The sequence below is a fragment of the Homo sapiens genome, chromosome 16 (genome assembly GCF_000001405.40).
Source record: "Homo sapiens chromosome 16, GRCh38.p14 Primary Assembly".
Lineage (NCBI taxonomy): Eukaryota > Metazoa > Chordata > Mammalia > Primates > Hominidae > Homo > Homo sapiens.
The window spans coordinates 51,913,588-51,933,583 of NC_000016.10; the positions used below are offsets into that span (position 1 = coordinate 51,913,588).

A 19,996-nucleotide genomic window follows, 5' to 3' on the forward strand; every position below is an offset into this window, starting at 1 on the left:
CTTTTCTAATTTTTCCAGTGGGAGGATTGATGTGATACAAGCTGTTCTGAAAGGAAGGTGGTTGTAATAATAATCATATACCATAAAAACTTGTAATCTTATTGCAGGTATTACAAACTCAAATTTCTACAGAGATTAGGCAAGTAAAATAAATGAGAGAAGTATGCCTGGTAAGGACTGTCAAAGTGCAAATCACATGATCTGTCTAAAAAGGGAAGTGCTATGTGTTACCCACCTTGGGCTTACCAGTGAAAACCAGCAACACAGATGTGTGTATAATCTTTAGACTATATGTAGCCGTAAGATGACAGCTGCCATTCTTTTTATTTTTTAAAGTCTATTGTTTCCTACACCACATTTTGCTATATTCAAATACTATATTTAGAATTAAATATTTAGTAAGCATCAAAGATAGGAATTTCAATGGAAATTTGAAGAAAAGAAAGATCGCTTTCAGCTGGGTGATCTGGAGAGAAAGAGGAACTGGTTACACTTTCATAGAGCATCCCTAAGGAATGAACTGGGCAGAGATAGAGGGCCAGGAGATAGCAGGTTGCTTTAGGGAATTAGGAGTGAAAGAAAGTAAAACGCATTTCTCCACTTCAGGAGGGTGATAAACAAGTCTGGGTTTAGTCTTGTGCTCCAGAGTAAGTCACCTGAAGACTGATCCTTAAAAATGAAACACCAGTGTCTTTAACGGAGAAAGTGAGAGACCCACCAAAGCCTTCTGCTATCGGGTCAATTTTTCAGCCTCATAAGCAAGCTCTTGTGTATGTAATTACAACTAATATATGGGAGGAACAGACAGGGATGAACAGATGTTGGAACCAAATGAGGATATAGAGAACACAACAGTGTGGTATAAAAACCTGAGTTTATATGGTGCAGCTGGCTGCATTGCATGTTTTTTTATTATTATTTATTTACAAGGTGTGGCATCTGGCCTTCTATTGTCAAACCTCAATTTTTCTTGCAGTTAATTCTGTCCTAATACAAAGGCACCCAGGCAACACAGGTGAGAAACTTAGTTAAAAATCTCCTCTGAAAAAGAGATCCAAGGAATTAAAAGAAAGGTGACCTGGAGGCTCCATTGGAGCTAAATGGGCTCACTTTTATTTGCCTATATTTCAGTCTGGACTCTCTGAGTCTCTCAGAGCTGAGGTCTATTTTGCCTTTGTCGACATGATGCTAGTCAAGCAGGTTAATGGATTTTCCCCTACTGAGACGCCCACTGAAGTGGAGCTATATAGAGCTAGGCAGGAAGTTAGAAGATGGAAAAAAATACATGCCATTAACAAGAGTGAAATCTGACCTAAATATATCCTCAACTCATTCTAAATGAGCCCCTTGGAATTGTCCTTGCTCAATCACTAGTTTTCAAACTACCTTTGTGAATCCCACAGTTAGAGAACCGACGTCTTCTACAGCAACATGGCAGCTTTGTAGAGGGGGTCACCGAGGGTCATGGACTTCCTGTGGTCCAGTGTTAATTTTGTTTTTATGTTTCCTGGTTTTTGAAGCCTTTTCAGTGGAGAAATCTGTGCAACTTCCTTTATCTTCAGCCTTATATTATGTGTGTCAACCAGCTTGAGTGGCAGTAGAGTACTGGGTTAGAGCAAATGTCTTTTCATCTAGGTGGTGTAGGTTCATATTTTCTACCTACCAAGCTGTGTTGATTGGAAGAGTTGCTTAATTATCTAGTCCTTAGCTTCTTCATTAACACCAGGGAATAATCCAGTCTACCCCACAGTCTTGTAGGTAGTATTAATCAAAACAATATATGGAAAGTACATAGCATAGTGCCTAGGACATAGTGTCTACAAAATAGTACCTAATATATTTAATACTATCTTCCTTCTGTGCCTCAGCTGTGATAGAGTTGTAAGTATAAGTTGGCTGATATCATTTATTTGCATGTTTTTTTTGTTTCATGAATAAATTTGTTCTCTTAGCATATCCCTACTCCTGTTTCCAAACTTAAAATGTTGCCCTTTCTGAGAAGTGCCCCCTGACTTTCCCCCATCTTCCTGAGTCCATCACTTCCTCTGGAGCACCATGGTAGAGCAAGCACCCGATTCATGCTCACCTCTTCATATCAGCACCCTCAAGTGCAGCTTTTCACTGTCACGCAATTAGTAATATATATGCACATCTTCCCTACTTAATACTGAGCGCACCCACATCCATCAATCCCTGGCTTTTGAACATTCTGTTTCCTGAGCTGCTTCCAGGGCAAAGTCAAGGTCTACAAACGTTGGTAATGTAGGGGTAGATGAGACAGTAGGCCACCTATTGCAACAGACTCTTATAATTTGAGCAGAGCTTTAGCTTCTCATAGTTCATTTGCATCTGTCCTCCTAGCTGTGTCTCCTATATTGCCATCAAAGATCAGAGGGCATTGATTGAAGTGAGCTGAATTCTCATTTCCTTTTCAACCCCCTCCACCAGTGCATGGCATCTGGGAGCCGCTGCAGCTTCCCACAGCATTAAGGAGCTTGGCCTTCTGACTAGGAATATTACTTCTCCATAAAGAAAATATTTATCAAATCATTTAGAAGTTTCTGTGACCTACTGCAATTTTGGAAATTAGCAAATAGTCCTTGTTCATCTTGCAGACGGTATTTTATTATTGGATTAATGTGCAAAAAGCCCCTATTTTGTAGCACCAAATATTTACTTTGGAGACATTCTCCAGTTTTATCACGGATTTGCCTTGTACTGTCAACAAATTACTGCAGTGTACATAATGAACTATGGGAATAAAGAAAATATACACAGGGCTAGACTTGCTTGGAAACATATATTTTGCTTTTCGGGAGGGGATCAGTGAAGAGTTGACATCCGGTCACCCTCTGACTTTATCTTGTGACCCTATCTCATAAAACACGCAGAAATTTTACTTTTTATTTTAAGCATTTGGGCTGCTTTAAAAGTATAAGCCAGATGTCTATGCCCAGAGTTCAATTTTAGGGCTTAGTTCTACATCATAAAGAGCATTTACAACTCCTCCACTAAGCCAGGTAAAACATAGTAAAATGACAACTATGGTGGGGCCATGAAATAGTTTTTGCCATGGTCAGGAGGTTCTTATGTCTCTATTCAGGAAGCACCTTTCAGGAGCTACATAAATTCTCCACTCTAGAAGAAATATTTAGAGATTTAGAGGATGAAAGTATGGCAGTTACTTAGTTCTCTTATTGACATAGGAGAACTATATTTGGGTGTGTTTGGGCAAAAGAAAAAAAGCCATCTTCCCTGGTAACTGGATAATTTTTGGACATGCTTCCATCCTTGAAATGGGAATCAATATGAAAACTGTCCACTTGTCCATTCAACATGGTAGCTTTCTTCCTGTGACATAGTGGCTGATAGAGAAACATTCTCTGCATTATGTTCTAAGCATACCTGTTGACTGTATAGCAAGGTTTTTGATAAACCTGTTGAACATCTCTCTGAAGCCAATGTATCCCTCTCCCCACTTTACTTTCCAGCTTTACCACCACATCCTAGTCTAAGCTCGTGTTTTACTTGGGCAATGCCATTTTCCTTTTATTGTACCCAGCATGAAAACTTTAGGCCCTCCATTTACTATGCTGCCTTCAGAACACGAATTTACAAATACACTAGTTTTTTCTGCTCTTCAGCTAAATATGGTAATCCTTAGCCTGAATCCATGCCCTATCTTGTATGCCAGCCATGCTATTCTTGTGTGTCTACCCAACCAGGCCTTCTTCCAGACAACAGAATGTCCTCCTTCTTCTTGCTGCTACCGAGCCTTTGCCCATGCTATGCTCCCTGCCTAAAATGCCCTTCCTACTCACACCCCTGGACCTAGGTAACATCTATTTTCCATAAGACCAGATCAAAATCCTCTTCATAGCACTTGACTACAGTTGAAATTGTATATTGTATATTTATGTTATAATTTTTTTCCTTAGCATGGGTCTCTCCTAATAGAGTAACAGGGAGTTCTAGAATTCAGCCTCAGAGAGGAAACTGTAGAGTGGCTCAGGGGCAGGACAGGCTGGAAACCTATTTGTGGCTAGAAAATGGAAGGACAGAAGTACCACCACCACCACACACAGACAACTGCCCCACACAGATGATTCTGTCCCTCTGCTTCCTCGACATTGTAGCCAGACATTGCCACAGCAACTGTACAAATACCCAGCCCAATCCCTGTCCCTACAAAGTGGAAATCCAAAAGTATTTCTCTAACCTCAAGCCCTAATGCCTTTCCTCCCTGCTTCTACACTTTCAGCTCACAACCTTAGAGATGCCATATACACATCTGGAAAGAAATAAAACAAGGTTTTAATTGTTACAGGTGTTTAAGAAAATTGCTTTTGGGTAACTTCCTGAATTTTCAGAATTTTCTGTAATTAACACTTTTATAATCTCAAATAAAAAACAAACATCAAAATATAAGATATACTTAAAAACATTTATAATATATAAGCTGATGTGTCAATATTCAGGTGCCAAAGCCAATGGCAGGATATAAAAACAACAGCAACAAAAAACACATACCCAGAGTCTTGTCCATAATACTCCCAATTGACTGTACGCTCATGGCACCAACAGGAAACTAGAGGACAACTTTAAAGTATTTTTTTAACAGTGCCCAGCTGCTCTCAACCTTTTCTTAATTTCCTTCTGATTGCTCCAGGATTTTCATTTAATGGAGTGGGTTTCTGCTGGAGAAAATTAAGGGCTGAAATTATTAAATGAGTATGACCCCAACTGTGAAAGAAATTCTTTCACTTATTTCTTTAGGTGACAAAGTTTGGGATGAAACTGATGTGGTAATAGTTACCTGGATGATCTTTCATATTCTGTAGATTCTGTAGGACACACCAGGTCCAGCTGTATATTTGGAAGAGTAAAATCCTTTAGTTTGAAACCCTTAGTTTAAAATCCCTTAGTTTCAAACCTTAGTTTGAAGCATATCATCCCTGAGTTTGAGGCAGCATCTCAATTTGGGAACACTGATGAAGGATAACACCTTGTATTTGCAGAGCACTTTTTATGATCTGTTGCTTTTTTCCCCCCGTGTGCCCTCATATCCATTATCCTACTCATTTCTTGCATCAGCACTGTTTCATAGGTAAGATAAGTATAATTCCTGATTTACAGGTGAGGAGACTGAGCCTAGAGGGGTTAAGTGCTTCATCTAAATGAAAATAACAAGCCAACAGCAAAGAGGGCCTAGAGATTCAAGCTACTAATCTCACTGCTTTTATAATAATGTCAGCGGCTCCTACCGGGCCCCTAATATGTGCCAGAGACTTGACCTTTATGAACTCCTTTAATACTCACGATAACTATATAACACAGATTGTATTACCTTCATTGTAAACATGAGGAAACTGAGGCTGAATTGATTTGACAAAGAAATGTAACATAGCCACCCAGACAATGAATCTCAAACCCAGAACAGTCTGAGGGCAAAGCCCATACTGTTTCCACTACACCATCTCCCACAGGAGAGCACACTCATATAGATTTTAGGAGCTGACACGGTGAAGATGAGCAATATATATTTTCACACAATTCATATTGTTCCTTCAAATTAAACCACAAAGACCAGAGAATAAATGTTGCCAAGTTTTTCCTATGAAGGTGACATGGAACGTGAAGACATGGAACTTTTACTTAGCCACTGATATTTTGTTTAGGTTTGCTTAATTTGTTTATCTCAAGACAACCTTCTGGAGTTATGTATTAGAAACAGAAAAGAGAAAATTTGGGTTAATTTGGAAAAAAGAAGGTAAACAGATGAGGTTGAACTGGTACAGTATTTATTGGTTTGTTTTTGTCCTGCAGGCTTGAAAAAGATGAAGAAAGCTGATGTGAAAATTCTGTAATCTTGAGATTATATTCCTGTGAGGTTGGGGTGTGGGCAAGGAAAGTCCAAAAGAGGGAAATGGCTATGATAGTGAGGCCTGATGAAAGTTCTGGAACATTGTGCACTGGGCCAGGGGGTGGCACATGAGCATACAGGTCTTGCGCATGGCAGGGAAGCAGTGGCTGTGATGGAGACCTCTAGAGTCACTTCCAATCTGTACTGGCCTCCCTTCACATGAATGGAATTGCTTCTGGGCTCCCATCTGCTCAGCTACACCTCATTTTCCAGCCCCCTTGCAGTTGAATGGCCAGGTGACAAGGTTCTCACCTGTAGAATGTGACAGTAAGTCATGTGTCTGGTTCTTGAGATATTGATTTGCTTCCTCCATACTTTCTTCTTCTCACTGGCTGGAATCTGAGTATTGTAGCAACCAGCTTCAATCATGCCGTGATAACAATGCCTGGACGTAAAGGAACAATGATTCATCAGCGACCTGGATCCATGAACAGTTATGTAGAGCTGGGCTGCCCTGCCAGCCAGGATGTCTCATCACATGGGGCCTGGTCCATGAAAGAGAAACAAACTCATTTGTTCTTAATGTTTCTTGCCACGTTGGGTCTCTGTTACAGCAGCAAAACCTTACACTAATTGATACAATGAATTGATGTAGGGGCACCAAAGCTTTTCTTATCTTAAGCATGCAAGTTACTCCCCAAAAATGGACCAGAAACATATAAACAATACTATAAACCCTAGAATTTTCTCAAAGATAAATTTACTGTCATGAATCAAACCGCAAGAACCTAAGACCATTTCTTGATCTAAAACTCTATCTTGGTTTCTGCCTAATAAACACATAATAGCTAAAATATCCACATCATTTAGGAAGTATGTTTTATTCTTATAATCTCCCCTGTGACAACTATTTTTATGTTACATTTTACTGAAAGCAGTTTATGCAATACAAAGGGCAGGTTGATTTGAGAATTTCTTCAGTTGCCATTTTTTTCTCAAAATAGCAGGCTGAATCACAAACTGAAGTTCTATTTATCTTGATGTTACCATGTAATAAATCCATTTTGTCAATGAATTTCTTTGAAATATTGTCTATTAAGAAAATAATAAAATCAATTTGTTAAAAAACATGAAGACGTACAGACGTAGAACACCAGAAGTCAAAATTATGTGACTCTTTCTGTATTCATACCCACATCTATGTGTTCTATCACAGGCATCTGTTCTCTCTGTCTCTCTCTCTCTCTATCTCTCTCAACTTTTCACAGTCTATTTAAGTTTCTCAAAATAGGGCTACAAATGGGTTTAAAGTTCCTGGAACACAAAGTGATTGAAACAGTGGGCACTTAAAATTCATGATTGCAAGGTGAACATCTGGAATGCATTCAAAAGAGGAAAAAATTATGAAATGAGAGCGTTATTAATAGCTAACATCTTGCAAGGAATGAATCAATGGACAACCTATTTCCTAGATTCTTTTTGGGGAAAAAAATATCGGAAAGAAAAATGCACCAGACTGCAGAATATAAAACTACCATGAAAGGAAATATGATCTACAGCATTACCTTTTAGAGATAAACTTTTTCACTTGTTTAAAATGCTGATAATGTCTGCATGCTATTCTTTTCTCCTACCTTATGTGTTGCTGAGAGAAGAGCTTTGTAGTTAACAAGGAGTTTTTTTCTTCACCAACAAAGTGGGATTTTCACACATGTGCTTTGCAGTAGCGAGTCTCAGCCCTGCAGTTTATTTTTGTAATAATTAATAAAATATCACACTTACTGGCTTCCTTACCCCTGCCCAGAGAATGGCTTGCTGCCACCTTCCTGGATGCTGTTGTAGGAAATGAATCAATGTTACATGAGGCTCTAGGTTGGGAAAAAAAGTATAAGAAGATTCTTATGCTCCAATTGAGTGCTTTCTGAATGACAGTTTCAATGACAGGTGACCCTCATGGATCACCAAATGTGTTGCGTGGTAGAGATGGTGAACAGTATCCATAGGTCCTGGTGTTGAAATGCTCAAAAAAATGGCGTCTATATTATTAAGAGAAAAACAGTCCTCTACTATTCTTATTTTACGTGAAAGAAAAAGGGGCACACAGGCCTGGTGAGGTGGCTCACGCCTGTAATCCCAGCCCTTTGGGAGGCTGAGGTGGGCAGATCACTTGAGGTCAGGAGTTCGAGACCAGCCTGGCCAACGTGGTGAAACCCCATCTCTACTAAAAATACAAAAATTAGAAAGGCATGGTGGCATGCGCTTGTAATCTCCCAGCTACTCTGGAGGCTGAGGCAGGAGAATCACTTGAATCTAGGAGGTGCAGGTTGTGGTGAGCCAAGATTTCACCACTGCACTCCAGCCTGGGCAACAGAGTTAGACTCTATCTTAAAAATAAATAAATAAATAAAAGTGAAGGAAAAGAAAAAGAAATAAAAAGGGACTCATTTAATTGCAATGAAGCTGGCAAATATGTCTCAAACTAAATAGAAAAAGCAAAAAATTCACTTTCGATAGTAGAAGGGTTATTCGTAGGTTTAATAAATATTTATGGAGTGCCAGCTGGGCTCCAGGCACTATTCTTGGCAATGGTGATATTGTTTTGAACCAGTCAGAAAAGCCCTACAAAAAATGAAAGAGGCAAATGCGTAGTCTGGGGAAAGAGCTCTTTGATCACATCATAGGCTCGAGTCACTTCGAGGATCACATTATTAATACCCAAGGAAACCTAAGAATGGTTTTCAAAACTTCTCACATTCTGTCTTGTAGGAATCAAATCCATCTCCTACTACTTCTGCACCATCTCCATCACCATCTCCATCATCTTCATCTTCAGCAATATAAACACTAGCAAGATTTTCTTCAAAAGGTTTTTTGAACGCTCACTATGAACTACACATGACACTCAATGATTTATGTGTTTTACTCCTTTCCTCTTCTCAACAATTGCTCGAGTTGGGTGGTATTATTACCCCCATTTTGTAAATGAGGAAACTGAGGCAGAGATATGTGAACAATACTATGAGAAAGAATATGAGTGAGAAGTCAGGATGAAAACATGAGCAACTGGACTCCTGAGCCTGTGCCATAACTACCCTTTCCCTCATTGTTACTTGACAATGCTCTAGATTGCTCTTTGTGCAACACAGCCTTCCTCAATGAGTCAGGCACTTTCATGTCCCTGCCTGGAGGCCCGTCCTATTTTCTTCACCAAAGCCTGGGAAACTTGTTCTATCAGGACACTAGAAAAAGCCTCCCACTAGAACCAAGATCAAAGAAAGCATGTATTACTCAAGACCTACACATGTCCTCTCATTGTGGAACCTGCTGATACATCATGAACCTCAAAAGGAATCCATGCGTTATCCAGTGGGTAGTCTAAATGAATGTATAGAATGTGAGTCTTGAAGGTGTCATTAAACGTAAGAGAAAGGCCAAGTGTGCTCATGCCTGTAATTCCAGCACTTTGGGAGGCTGAGGCTGGAGGATTGCTTGAGACCAGGAGTTTGAGACCAGACTGGGAAACATAGCACCCCATTTCTACAAAAAATATTTAAAAAATTAGCTGGATGTGGTGGTGCATGTCTGTAGTCCCAGCTACTGGGAAGGCAGGAGAATGGCTTGAGCCCAGGATGTTGAGACTGCAATGAGCCATGATTGCAGCACTACATTCCAGCCTGGATAAAAGAGAGAGAGAGAGAGAGAGAGAGAGAGAGAGAAGCTTTTTCTCCAAGCTTGAAGTGAGAAAAGCAAATATGCAGCTTTTTTTTTTTTTTTTTTTTACATACTTCAAGTTCTGGAATACATGTGCAGAACATGCAGGTTTGTTACATAGGTATACATGTGCCATGGTGGTTTGCTGAACCCATCAACCAGTCATCTACGTTAGGTATTTCTGCTAATGCTATCCCTCTCCTAGCCCCCCACCCTCTGACAGGCCCCAGTGTGTGATGTTCCCATCCCTGTGTCCATGTGTTCTCATTGTTCAGCTCCCACTTATGAGTGAGAACATGCGGTGTTTGGTTTTCTGTTCCTGTGTTAGTTTGCTGAGAATGATGTTTCCAGTTTCACCCATGTCCCTGCAAAGGACATGAACTCATCCTTTTTTTTATGGCCAAATGTGCAGCTTTTTATTTGTGTTAACTTAAAATTCAATAAACATTTGCCCAGTCCAGTGCTGCCTGGAAGTGAAGCTATCATATGCCTCTTCCAGTAGCTTCCAATTTTGAAGACAGAAGACATACTACAATAAAAACAGGACCTCTACAATCTTTCATTTAAAAATCTCTTTCTTAATGCTTTCATAAGCATCATTTTGTATAGAATTCAAGCAGTCTAGGAGATAGGAAAGACAGCAATTATTATCACCACTTGACATGTGGGGAAATTGAGGAAAGAGAATGTGAATCCTTAAAGAGCACGCTAGCATTTAGGTTCCCGACTCATGGTTGATTGGAGTCCTTGCTCTATAGGAAAATCTCCTAAGTGGAACATGCCGCCAAGGCATGTGCCTCAGCCATACTTCTAAAGCAACCAACACTTCAGCTCCAGGTCCAGCTTGAACAAAGGGGTCCACAGTAGCACTTCATTGGCACCATACTCTGTGCCACTTTAAAGCCGGGAATAAAACAAGTCCCAGCAATAGTGGCTCTGCCATATGCTACCACACTGCTGTGCTGCCTTAAGACACTGCACAGGTTTTGGCTGCTCAAGCAGCTAGACTTTTATCATTGGTTCACATTAATGTACTTGGCAATCACACAGAAGGGCTTTTAAATCTAATGGCTCAGACAATAACAAAGCAAAATTACACGAGCATTTTCAAAATGTTGGGGCTGTGACTCTTTTAGGTATGTCATGCTGACTTATCCCTGGGACTTGCTGGAGTTGTAGTACATTACACAGACTTTGAGTCTCTTCCTATTTGCCCAAGTATGGCACTAGGGGTTGATAAATTGATAATGTAGGCAGTGTGAGGTTTTTCAAAAATGTGAATCTGTGCCATCCTCTGTGTGTGTATGTGTGTGTGTGTGTGCACACTGTGTGAATCTGTGTCCATGTGCTCAAACCTGTACAAGTGTCTGTGGCCAAAACTGCAATGAGATAGATCACCTGAACGTAAATACTCAGGTTCAACAGGACTAAACTTCAGCTGTGACTCCTTTCAGAGCCTCTTTTGTGCTCTACTTTCTTCTTGAAATCTAAAGCTTCTCTAGTTCTCCATTGGTAGCTGTGAAGAAATGTTTTCCCTAGATTAAAAATTGTGTTTAGATTTTCAGCAACTAAGTTTGTAAAGTAAATAAAGACCTTCTTTCACCAATTTAAAGTGTACAAAATTATTATTTTCAATAAAAGTATAAAATATCTATAATATATGGAATTAATAAAATACATTCAAGGTTCTTCATATTTATCAAGGCACTTTTTTTTTTCCTTCAATTACTTGCACAATCCATTTCCAGGTGATACCATTGTTGGTCCTCTTATCAGTGTCAATAATTCCATTTGGCAGCCAGCAGCTAATTCTTTTCATGTGCTAATGATTAATCAGACAAGCCTATTTACTAATGTATCAGAATGCATTAGAAACATAAGGTAATGGCGGACAGAACATCAATTCAAATATAAATGAACTACATTTACATTGGATACCTATTGACTTATGTCACAGAATGAAGTAGAAAATACAATTTACTTGTAAACCATTAAAATGAATGAAAATAGAATTTCAAACTCCATCTTCAAACATAACTTTATTGGCTTGGCCGTGAGCCTTAAGGGAGTGCCTAACTAAGTTTAAAATATATAAATAACACACTAATTCATTTTGCCATAAAAGAGTTAGTGTCTCACCAACTGAACACCATGGAATTTACTTAAGTTGGAACTAGTACAAAATAAAAAGAGGTCACAGGGTATAATGTGAGGACATGTTAGCATTCTCACATTGGGGTTTTCTGATTTTAGCTCTCCTCTAACCTATTTTTGTCCAAAATCTTCCATCTTTGCTTGTCCCAAGGGCACTGGCCCATATTTTACCAATCAAAAATTTGAAATTAAAATCCTTGTGAGAGTGAGGGTGGGTTAAGTCAGATCAAATTATAATAGTAATCATAATATAGACTAAAGTACTGGAAACCAAGCTCTATAGGCATCTACATTGGACTTTCACTGGATGAAAGGGATATTTTAAGATATTCAGAGAAACATTACAAGCAATTAGATAAACACTGGAAAGTGAATAGATTTGACACACTTAGTATGGAAAGTTTCTGTGACACTAATAGGATTTTTTTTAACTGAAGTCCAGATGTCTAGCATGAGATGGAGATAGACAAGACTTCTTGTGTTAGATTTTCTCAAGTGCATAAGAACTGCACAAACATTAAGAACTTAGAGGTAATCAAAGAAATATCCTTAAATTCCAAGCTCCTGTTTGGTTTGTATCTGTGACAGCTCAGATTATCACCACTTGACATGTGGGGAAACTGAGGAAAGATAATGTGAATCCTTAGAGAACACGGTAACATTCAGATTCCTGACATTAGCCAAATGACTAAAAACTACCTTCAAATTAGAGATGTAGGCAATTGTTGCAGTTTTGAAAAGACAGTTTTGGGAGAGTCCAAAGGAGATGTAGGACAGTATTTAAAAATGTACCCACCTGACTTTCCCTTTCTTTTTTTTTTTTTTTTTTTTTTTTGAGACGGAGTCTCGCTCTGTTGCCCAGGCTGGAGTGCAGTGGCGCGATCTCTGCTCGCTGCAAGCTCCGCCCCCCGGGTTCATGCCGTTCTCTTGCCTCAGCCTCCCGAGTAGCTGGGACTACAGGCTCCCGCCACCACGCCCGGCTGGACTTTCCCTTTCTTTTAGACCTCTTCTTCCCATGCTAAACTGAAAGATGCGAATAAAATGAAATGTGTACCCAGAGCAGTGTTTTCAAAAGCATATTCCCTAGCTGGACATGGTGGCACACACCTGCAGTCTCAGCTACTCAGGAGACTGACGTGGGAGGATCACCTGAGCCTGGGAGGTCAAGGCTGCAGTGAGCCATGATTGCACCACTGAACTCCAGCCTGGATGACAGAGTGAGACCCTGCCAACAAAACAAAAGAAAACAAAACAAAGCAAAAACCTTATTCCGAAAAAGGTAGTTGAGAGAGAGGTGGTTTGTCAATAAAGATTTTTATAATCAATTATGTTTAGGAAATGCAACATTAGCTTCACTCTCCAACCCCTTGGAAATTCACAGGGCACCTTAGCATATTCACAACTCTGAAAAGTCCTTCAGTAAAGAAATCTTTATAAATTTGTTCCACCAGCACGTCTCGAGCTTTACTAAACAGAGTAATATTTCCTTCCCATATTCATGGATTTAGTGTTTCATGGAGCATAGGTGTAGAAACACTAATGATGATTTAACATACTGGGAAAATTAAATAAAATTTGTGGAGCCAAGCAAATCTATTTCTTATCCTACAGAAAAATGGAGGCTGGGTGCTGTGGCTCACACCTGTAATTCCAGCACTTTGGGAGGCCGATGCCGGCGGATCATATGAGGTCAGGAGTTCAAGACCAACCTGGCCAACATGGTGAAACCCTGTCTTTACAAAAATACAAAAATTAACTGGGCATGATGGTGGGTGCCTGTAATTCCAGCTACTTCAGCTACTTGGGAGACTGAGGCAGGAGAATCACTTGAAATCAGGAAGCAGAAGTTACAATGAGCAGAGATCGTACCATTGCACTCTAGCCTGAGATGTCATCTCAAAAAAAAGAAAAGAAAAAAGAAAAATGGAAATCATTTTTTAATGCTAGTAGATTTAAAGAGAGAAGGGATACTGCTTTAGCACTTTGCCAAAGAAACTCTTGTCAGTTTCAGCAGAAGAAAGTTTTTGCAGCTCTCCCTCTAGACTTATTTGAGACCAGAAAAATTCGACTTCATTATTTCTCCATAACCGGAACACTTGTTCACACCAACGCCCCCCCGCCCAACTCCACCCCACCGCAAATTATATGTATTTGACATCCAGAGCATGTCTCATTGCACTGCCCTCTTTTCTGGTGTTTGGATTCTGTTTCATAAAACATACCAAATACATTTTGCATTGAGGGACACACGCAAGAATAGGCACAGCTCTAGGTGCCCCAGGAAACCACAATCTCCAACACGAATTACCCCACTCAGAAGGATATTGCATAGGTATTACTGCAGTTACCAAGGGAAGAATTAATAGCAGCTTTGTCTGTGCCCAAAGAAGCACATAAAAGCCTCTCCAGTTTATTCCCAACATCTAATCCATCAGGAAACTGTCAGAAAGATAAATTGGAGCTAAGCCGACTTCTGTTAATAATGTAACAATTTTGAAAGTGCAGCTTTAATCAACGGGAAAATTTTCCAGAATTTGACAACCTTTTCCATTCCCTCTAGTATAGGCTCCATCTTTTTTTTTTTTTCAAAACTGTCTAATGCTGTTTCTTAGGTGGTGTTCAATAGAAACCAGTCTATAGTGCAATGCACTCTCTTTATGTGATGTTTAGATATGAGATTGATCTCCGTGGACACCCTGGCATTCTGAAAGTAGGATTATTGGATTTTGTGGCTTTCTCAGATGTTGAAGATCTTTAAACAGTGTCTTGCAAAGTTGTTACATCTTGCCTGTGTGTGAAACACTTATGAACTCATCAAAGAAGGTAGTCTCCATGTTAATTAGACACGGTTTGCAAAGGGGAGCTGGGAGTCGACAGCCCCTTACCGTGGAGTTAAGTGCCTGGACCCAGTTCATTTTCATACCTTGAAAAGAAAAATGAGTTCACCCATCTCCAGATCAATAGGGCCTGAACAAGAACATTGCTGACAGAGGGTTGAATTCAGATTTCAGAATAGCAGAGAGGACAAAAGATGTGGTTGTTACAGCAGAAGTTTGGCCACCACATTACTCCAAGATGTCTCAAGATTTTAAAATCTTTAGGCTTTGGCTGAATCAGAGAGAAGCAGTAAAATGACAGGTTGGCTTCATGGATTGTGAATCACACTTAAGGAAAACAGGGTAATTAGGACACGGTGTATTTCCTCTAGCTTTAAAGGTGCCTCACATAGCCACCGTGAAAGTAACCCTACTGTAGCTACTGTGGCTCACTCCTTCCTTTGGTCACCCTTATAAGCACTAGACAGTGTCAGGTATCTGCCATGTGAGCAGAATGGATATTACTCCATAGAAAACGCAGCCATTCTTATAGCACAACCACCTGGAAACTGACGCTCCACAAACCAGACTATAGCTTTTGCCACTACCATCAAATAGTGGCTCTCCTTTTCAGATTTGCAGCCAATGGATAATATATCAACCAGTCCTTAAATGCATACATGAATAAGAATGAAGAAGTTTTTTCATTTTGAATTTTCTTTTCTTTTTTTTCATTACTCTCAGCATTTGTAATCACACGTTTACATGCAAATATAGTAAAAAGTTGTATCTGACGTGGCACAAAACTTCATGGCCTTATTTCCCATTACATATATATCGCACAGGTTTATTGACCATTTTCTTGGCTCTGAGGATAGGTGAGATCTTTGAGATGGTTTAACTGATCCTAGCCATGTATTGATGCTGGAGGGGTTTCTTTAAAACACCACCACACTCTCTGGATGCACAGGGCACATGCCTTCTGCCTCAGGTGTACTCAAGTGTCCAATGACATTGAAATGGTGGATGTCCACATGGGATGGGTTGGATGAGATCAGTCATGGGGCACAGATGACTATAGCTCTTGCTAGCCTGTCAGTCAGCAACATGCTGGCTCTGTCAAAGGGATTCATCCACTGAGAAGGCAGCCACTGATGATATCAGGGAGGAGATCTTATGCCCAACTCAGCAGTGGCTGGGCACTCTGCAGATAGGAAGACATCTCATCTGTCCTCCAAATGTAAACCACAGACAAGGGCTCCTTGAGATGCAGTGCCTGGGGAGCCTCCGGATGGCACTCTGCTCTGTTCTACTTAATCACCAGCTCAACAACCTCTCTCCTTCCTTACTTCCCTGTTGTATTAGTCCTTTCTCATAGTGCTATAAAGAACTACCTGAGACTGGGTAATTTATGAAGAAAAGAGGTTTAATTGACTCACAGTTCTGCAGGCTATATAGCAAGCATGGCTGGGAAGCCTCAGGAAACTTACAATCACAGTGGAAGGGTGAAGGGGAGGCAAACACGTCTTCACATGGTGGCAGGAGAGAGAGTGAAAGGGAAGGTGCTACACACTTTCAAACAACCAGATCTCATGAGAACTCACTCATTATCACAAGAACAGCAAGGGGGAAATCCACCCCCATGATCCAATCACTCCCCACCAGGTCCCTCCCCTAACATTAGGAATTACAATTCGACATGGGATTGGGGGGGTGGGGACACAGAGCCAAGCCATAGCACCCATCAACCTTCCCTTCCCAAAGTCCAGGGTCTTCTTCTATTCTTGAGGGTGGGAAAATTTACATATTAGGCTCTTCCAGATTTCTGCCCAAATCTACGCTCATGAATCTTCCCTTGTCCTGCATCTCAGACTTTAGAAACTCAAGAACCATACAGGACTCCTCTTTTCTCTCTACGTTGTGATTGGATCATCTTTTCCTCAAGCAGTGAACACACCGTGCCTTGATGACTGAATAGGAGAAGGGCCAGGAAAGAAAAGAAAATGTCCCATGTGTCCTCAAACACATTCCTTTCAACCTTTAAAATGTCATGGCATTCCATAAAATGCATGAGGACTTCTAGGGACTGTGGCTCTTGATCATGCTTCAAATGTCAGGAATAGAGTCTCAAGACAATGCTTCTTTAGCTAGTAGATGGAAAATACAACTGGGCCATTAAGGCTTCTGTGGGTGAGATGGTATTTTGGGACACCAAAATTGGAGGAACAAAGGAATAAGAAGCTATAAGAGGTGGTGCTGAACCTCATCCTCATCACACACACACACACGCAGACACACACACAACATGTGAGCTTCATCTCAAAATATAATTGTCTATACATGATTGTACACAAACCATCATGATTTGTTTCTAGGTAAGAGAAAAGATCAATAGTTCTGTGTCACAATGTGAAAAATAGTTGGTTTAGGATGAAAAGTCCTGCAAACAAGATTTACTTATCCTTTAGAAAATGTATGAGCTTGGGCAAATCCTCTATTATTTCTGAACCTTAGTTTTCTCATCTGTTAAACAGAGATAATAATCTGTCTTTCCCACTGGTCTTGCAGAGCTGAGAACTTTACATGAGCTCAAGAACACAGAAGTGTTTTTAAGGCTGGAACGTGTCATCCCCTCTCCAAGGCTCTGACTTGGGAGGAACTATTAAAGTAATCACCAAGTTTGGGGAAAGAGAAGGGGAGAGAAAGGGAATTGATCCATGTGTGTGTGAATGAAAAGGAATACTTGTAGCTCATTCCCCCAACCTGGTCTTCCCCTGATGGACCCTCATCTCCCAGCCAATCTCCACACTTACAGGAATCCAGCTCTGAGTTAGGGGAGTGGGGAAAGGGCAGTGCTCCCTCAAAGCCCACCCAGAATCCACTTCCTAGAAGGAAATTTAAAAATAAGTTTAAATCTGCTCCCTGGGTGTTTTTTGGCACCATCTGGTTCTTAGTGGGTAGAATTTAGACTGAGTTAGGTAGTCAATGTCTCAATCTTCTGTGCATGTCATAGAGCAGTGCTTTTTAACTGTGGTCCACAGACTGCCTGCAGAAGCATTAGTGCAGTTGTTAAAAATGCAGTGTCCTTGGCTCCACACAAATTGTGGAATTAGGTGACAAGTTTGTGGCCCAGAAATCAGCCTTTAAGTGATTATAACACTAAAATGAAGAGAAACTAAATATGAGTCTGGATAATCATACTGATACTCATAATGACTCAAATTAATTAAAATTCTCTTTATGTGTGGGATACTATCTTAAGCGTTTTGTGTGCATTAATGTATTCACACCCATAATTGTGCTATGAAGTGAGGATTGTTACTATCTCCAATTTACAGATGGAAAAATGGAGCTCACGGAGGCAGGTGACTTCCCAAAGGTCATGCAGGGAGTAAGTGCCATAGCTGAGGTTTGCACCCAGATCCTGGGCTTTCCAGTTCACTTACACCCAATCACACCTACAGACAACATACAACAGAAAATACATGAATGTACGATGTTCCTCTCCCCAAGCAGGATAGATTCCCCGGATTATGCTGTGGCAAAACCAGCAGCTCCCAGAGTGAAGATTGCTCTTCGTGCCCAAACAGTCTCCAGATCCAGGCAGCCCCTCTCTCTTTTATTTCATTATATTTTGCTTCTAGAGATGCATTTGTGATGTTTAATTTATACTCCCTGATCTTAAAGTGATTGCATCACTAAAAAGGCTGTGATGTTGATTTATACGATAGTTGCCTGTGTCTGTTAATTAGAGAAATGTCATTTGGCTTCCTACAGAAGAAAAACAATAAATTATAGAGGAGGAGGGAGGGGCAACCATCCCCCAAACCTATGCCGGTTACTCCTCTTGAATCATATTTATGATCTTAACCGATTTTATTCCATTTACACCAATAATCTTCAGGAAAAAACTGTAACTTGGGCTGAGGGGGAAATAATAATAGAAAAAAAAGGTGGGAATATAAATGTAGAAATAATCTCTATTTGCATATTGGTGCATATGAACACTAGGACACAAAACTGTGATGCAGAAGTATAAGTCAGCTCATGCCAAGTGTTTTTCCTAAGACGCCACCCTTCCACCCCATCTCCAACCTGAACACCACTGTCTCCAGGGCAGGATGCTCTCTAGCAAAGCCAACAAATAAACAACTTTCAAGTTGACAGGACTTAGTTGCCTCTTATGATCAGTGACCTTATATTTCCTGTGCAGTGACCTAATATTTCTGTGTACCTGAACAAGGGCTGCCTTTTTATCCAACAACTGTTATTGACTTCATAAGCGAGATGAAGGGGAGTACAAAGAAATATATTTGTATTCATTAATTAATTTACTTAATCATTCACACATTCAATAAACATTAACACATGCCTACTCCATTGCAGGTCATGAGAACATGCTGGGCACACAGAGGTCAGCACAAATTATCACAATTCCAGACCTCACGGAGTTTACTCTCTAATGGGGGTAGTGACATATATCAACAAATCACTAAGTAATTGCAACTATGCTCTATGCCACAAAGGAGAGGGAGAAGGGATCATGAAAAACTTCCATGAAGAAATATTTGAGTTAAATCTTAAGGCTGAAATTTGGCTAAGACAGAGGGAAAAGCATTTCAAAAAGAAGGAACAGCATATGCAAAAGCTAGTGAAGTGAAGGAGCAGAGTGAACTCAAAAGACTAAAAGATGTCCAATGTCACCACAGTGGACAGTCCAGAGGGGCGCATAGTGGGAGATGGGGCTGCAGAGGCTGAAGCCAGACCACACAAGGTCCACAGGCCCTGGTACAGAGGTGATTTTTATTCCAAGAGCAGTGGGAAGCCACTTTAGAGCTTTAAACTCAGGCAGGGGATATATGATCAGATTTCCATTTTGAGAAGGTCATTGTTTATGCCTTGAAAAGACTTAGAGTTTTCTGTGATCAAAAAGGCTACAAAATGTGGACTAGGTAGGCAGCTCCCATGTGGAGGTGGGACATTATGGAATGTGATGGCACATGGCTAAACCAGGGCTCTGACATTTCTTGTAGGGAGGAAACCGTCTTCTTCCCAGCCCATCCATCCCTGGATCATCCATCCACTGGTACCCATGAATATCCATGCCTGGAAACTATTGTCTTGCGACTGTCAGAAGTGGTGGTAGAAAAGGGAGGAAGATAGATGGAAGGGATGACATAGCATCTGCTCTCTGCTTAGCTCCTTCACCTAGATTTGAGCCCATGTTATTATAGTGATGAGAACTAGAAGGGGACAGAGAAGAGGCTTGTGAAACCTGCTCCTTCTGATCCTTTCCTCACAAAAGCTTCATGGACCACTGTTTATTTCCACCACGAAATAACCCAATGCATGTATTCACTTCTTTATTTGCCTTCCACTAGAATGAGACCAGATGTCTTTCCTTTGTTCTACTTATCTTTGTAACATAGCATAGTCCTTTCCACGTAGTAGC

General features: G+C 40.4%; 1 long non-coding RNA gene across 1 annotated transcript, besides 1 other annotated feature; it reads right to left on the reverse strand.

Moving 5' to 3' along the window:
* Positions 1-5,779: 5,779 nt before the first annotated feature.
* On the reverse strand, positions 5,780-7,564 carry LOC124903765 (uncharacterized). The gene is made up of 2 exons (XR_007065187.1): positions 7,498-7,564; positions 5,780-6,408 (listed from the first exon to the last, which is right to left on the reverse strand). It is a non-coding gene; the product is annotated as an uncharacterized LOC124903765 (long non-coding RNA).
* Positions 10,789-12,189: an enhancer, noted in NCBI's record as "VISTA enhancer hs65". NCBI's record gives its function as "enhancer in: somite[6/8]" and the evidence as "EXISTENCE:transgenic organism evidence [ECO:0001131][PMID:17130149]".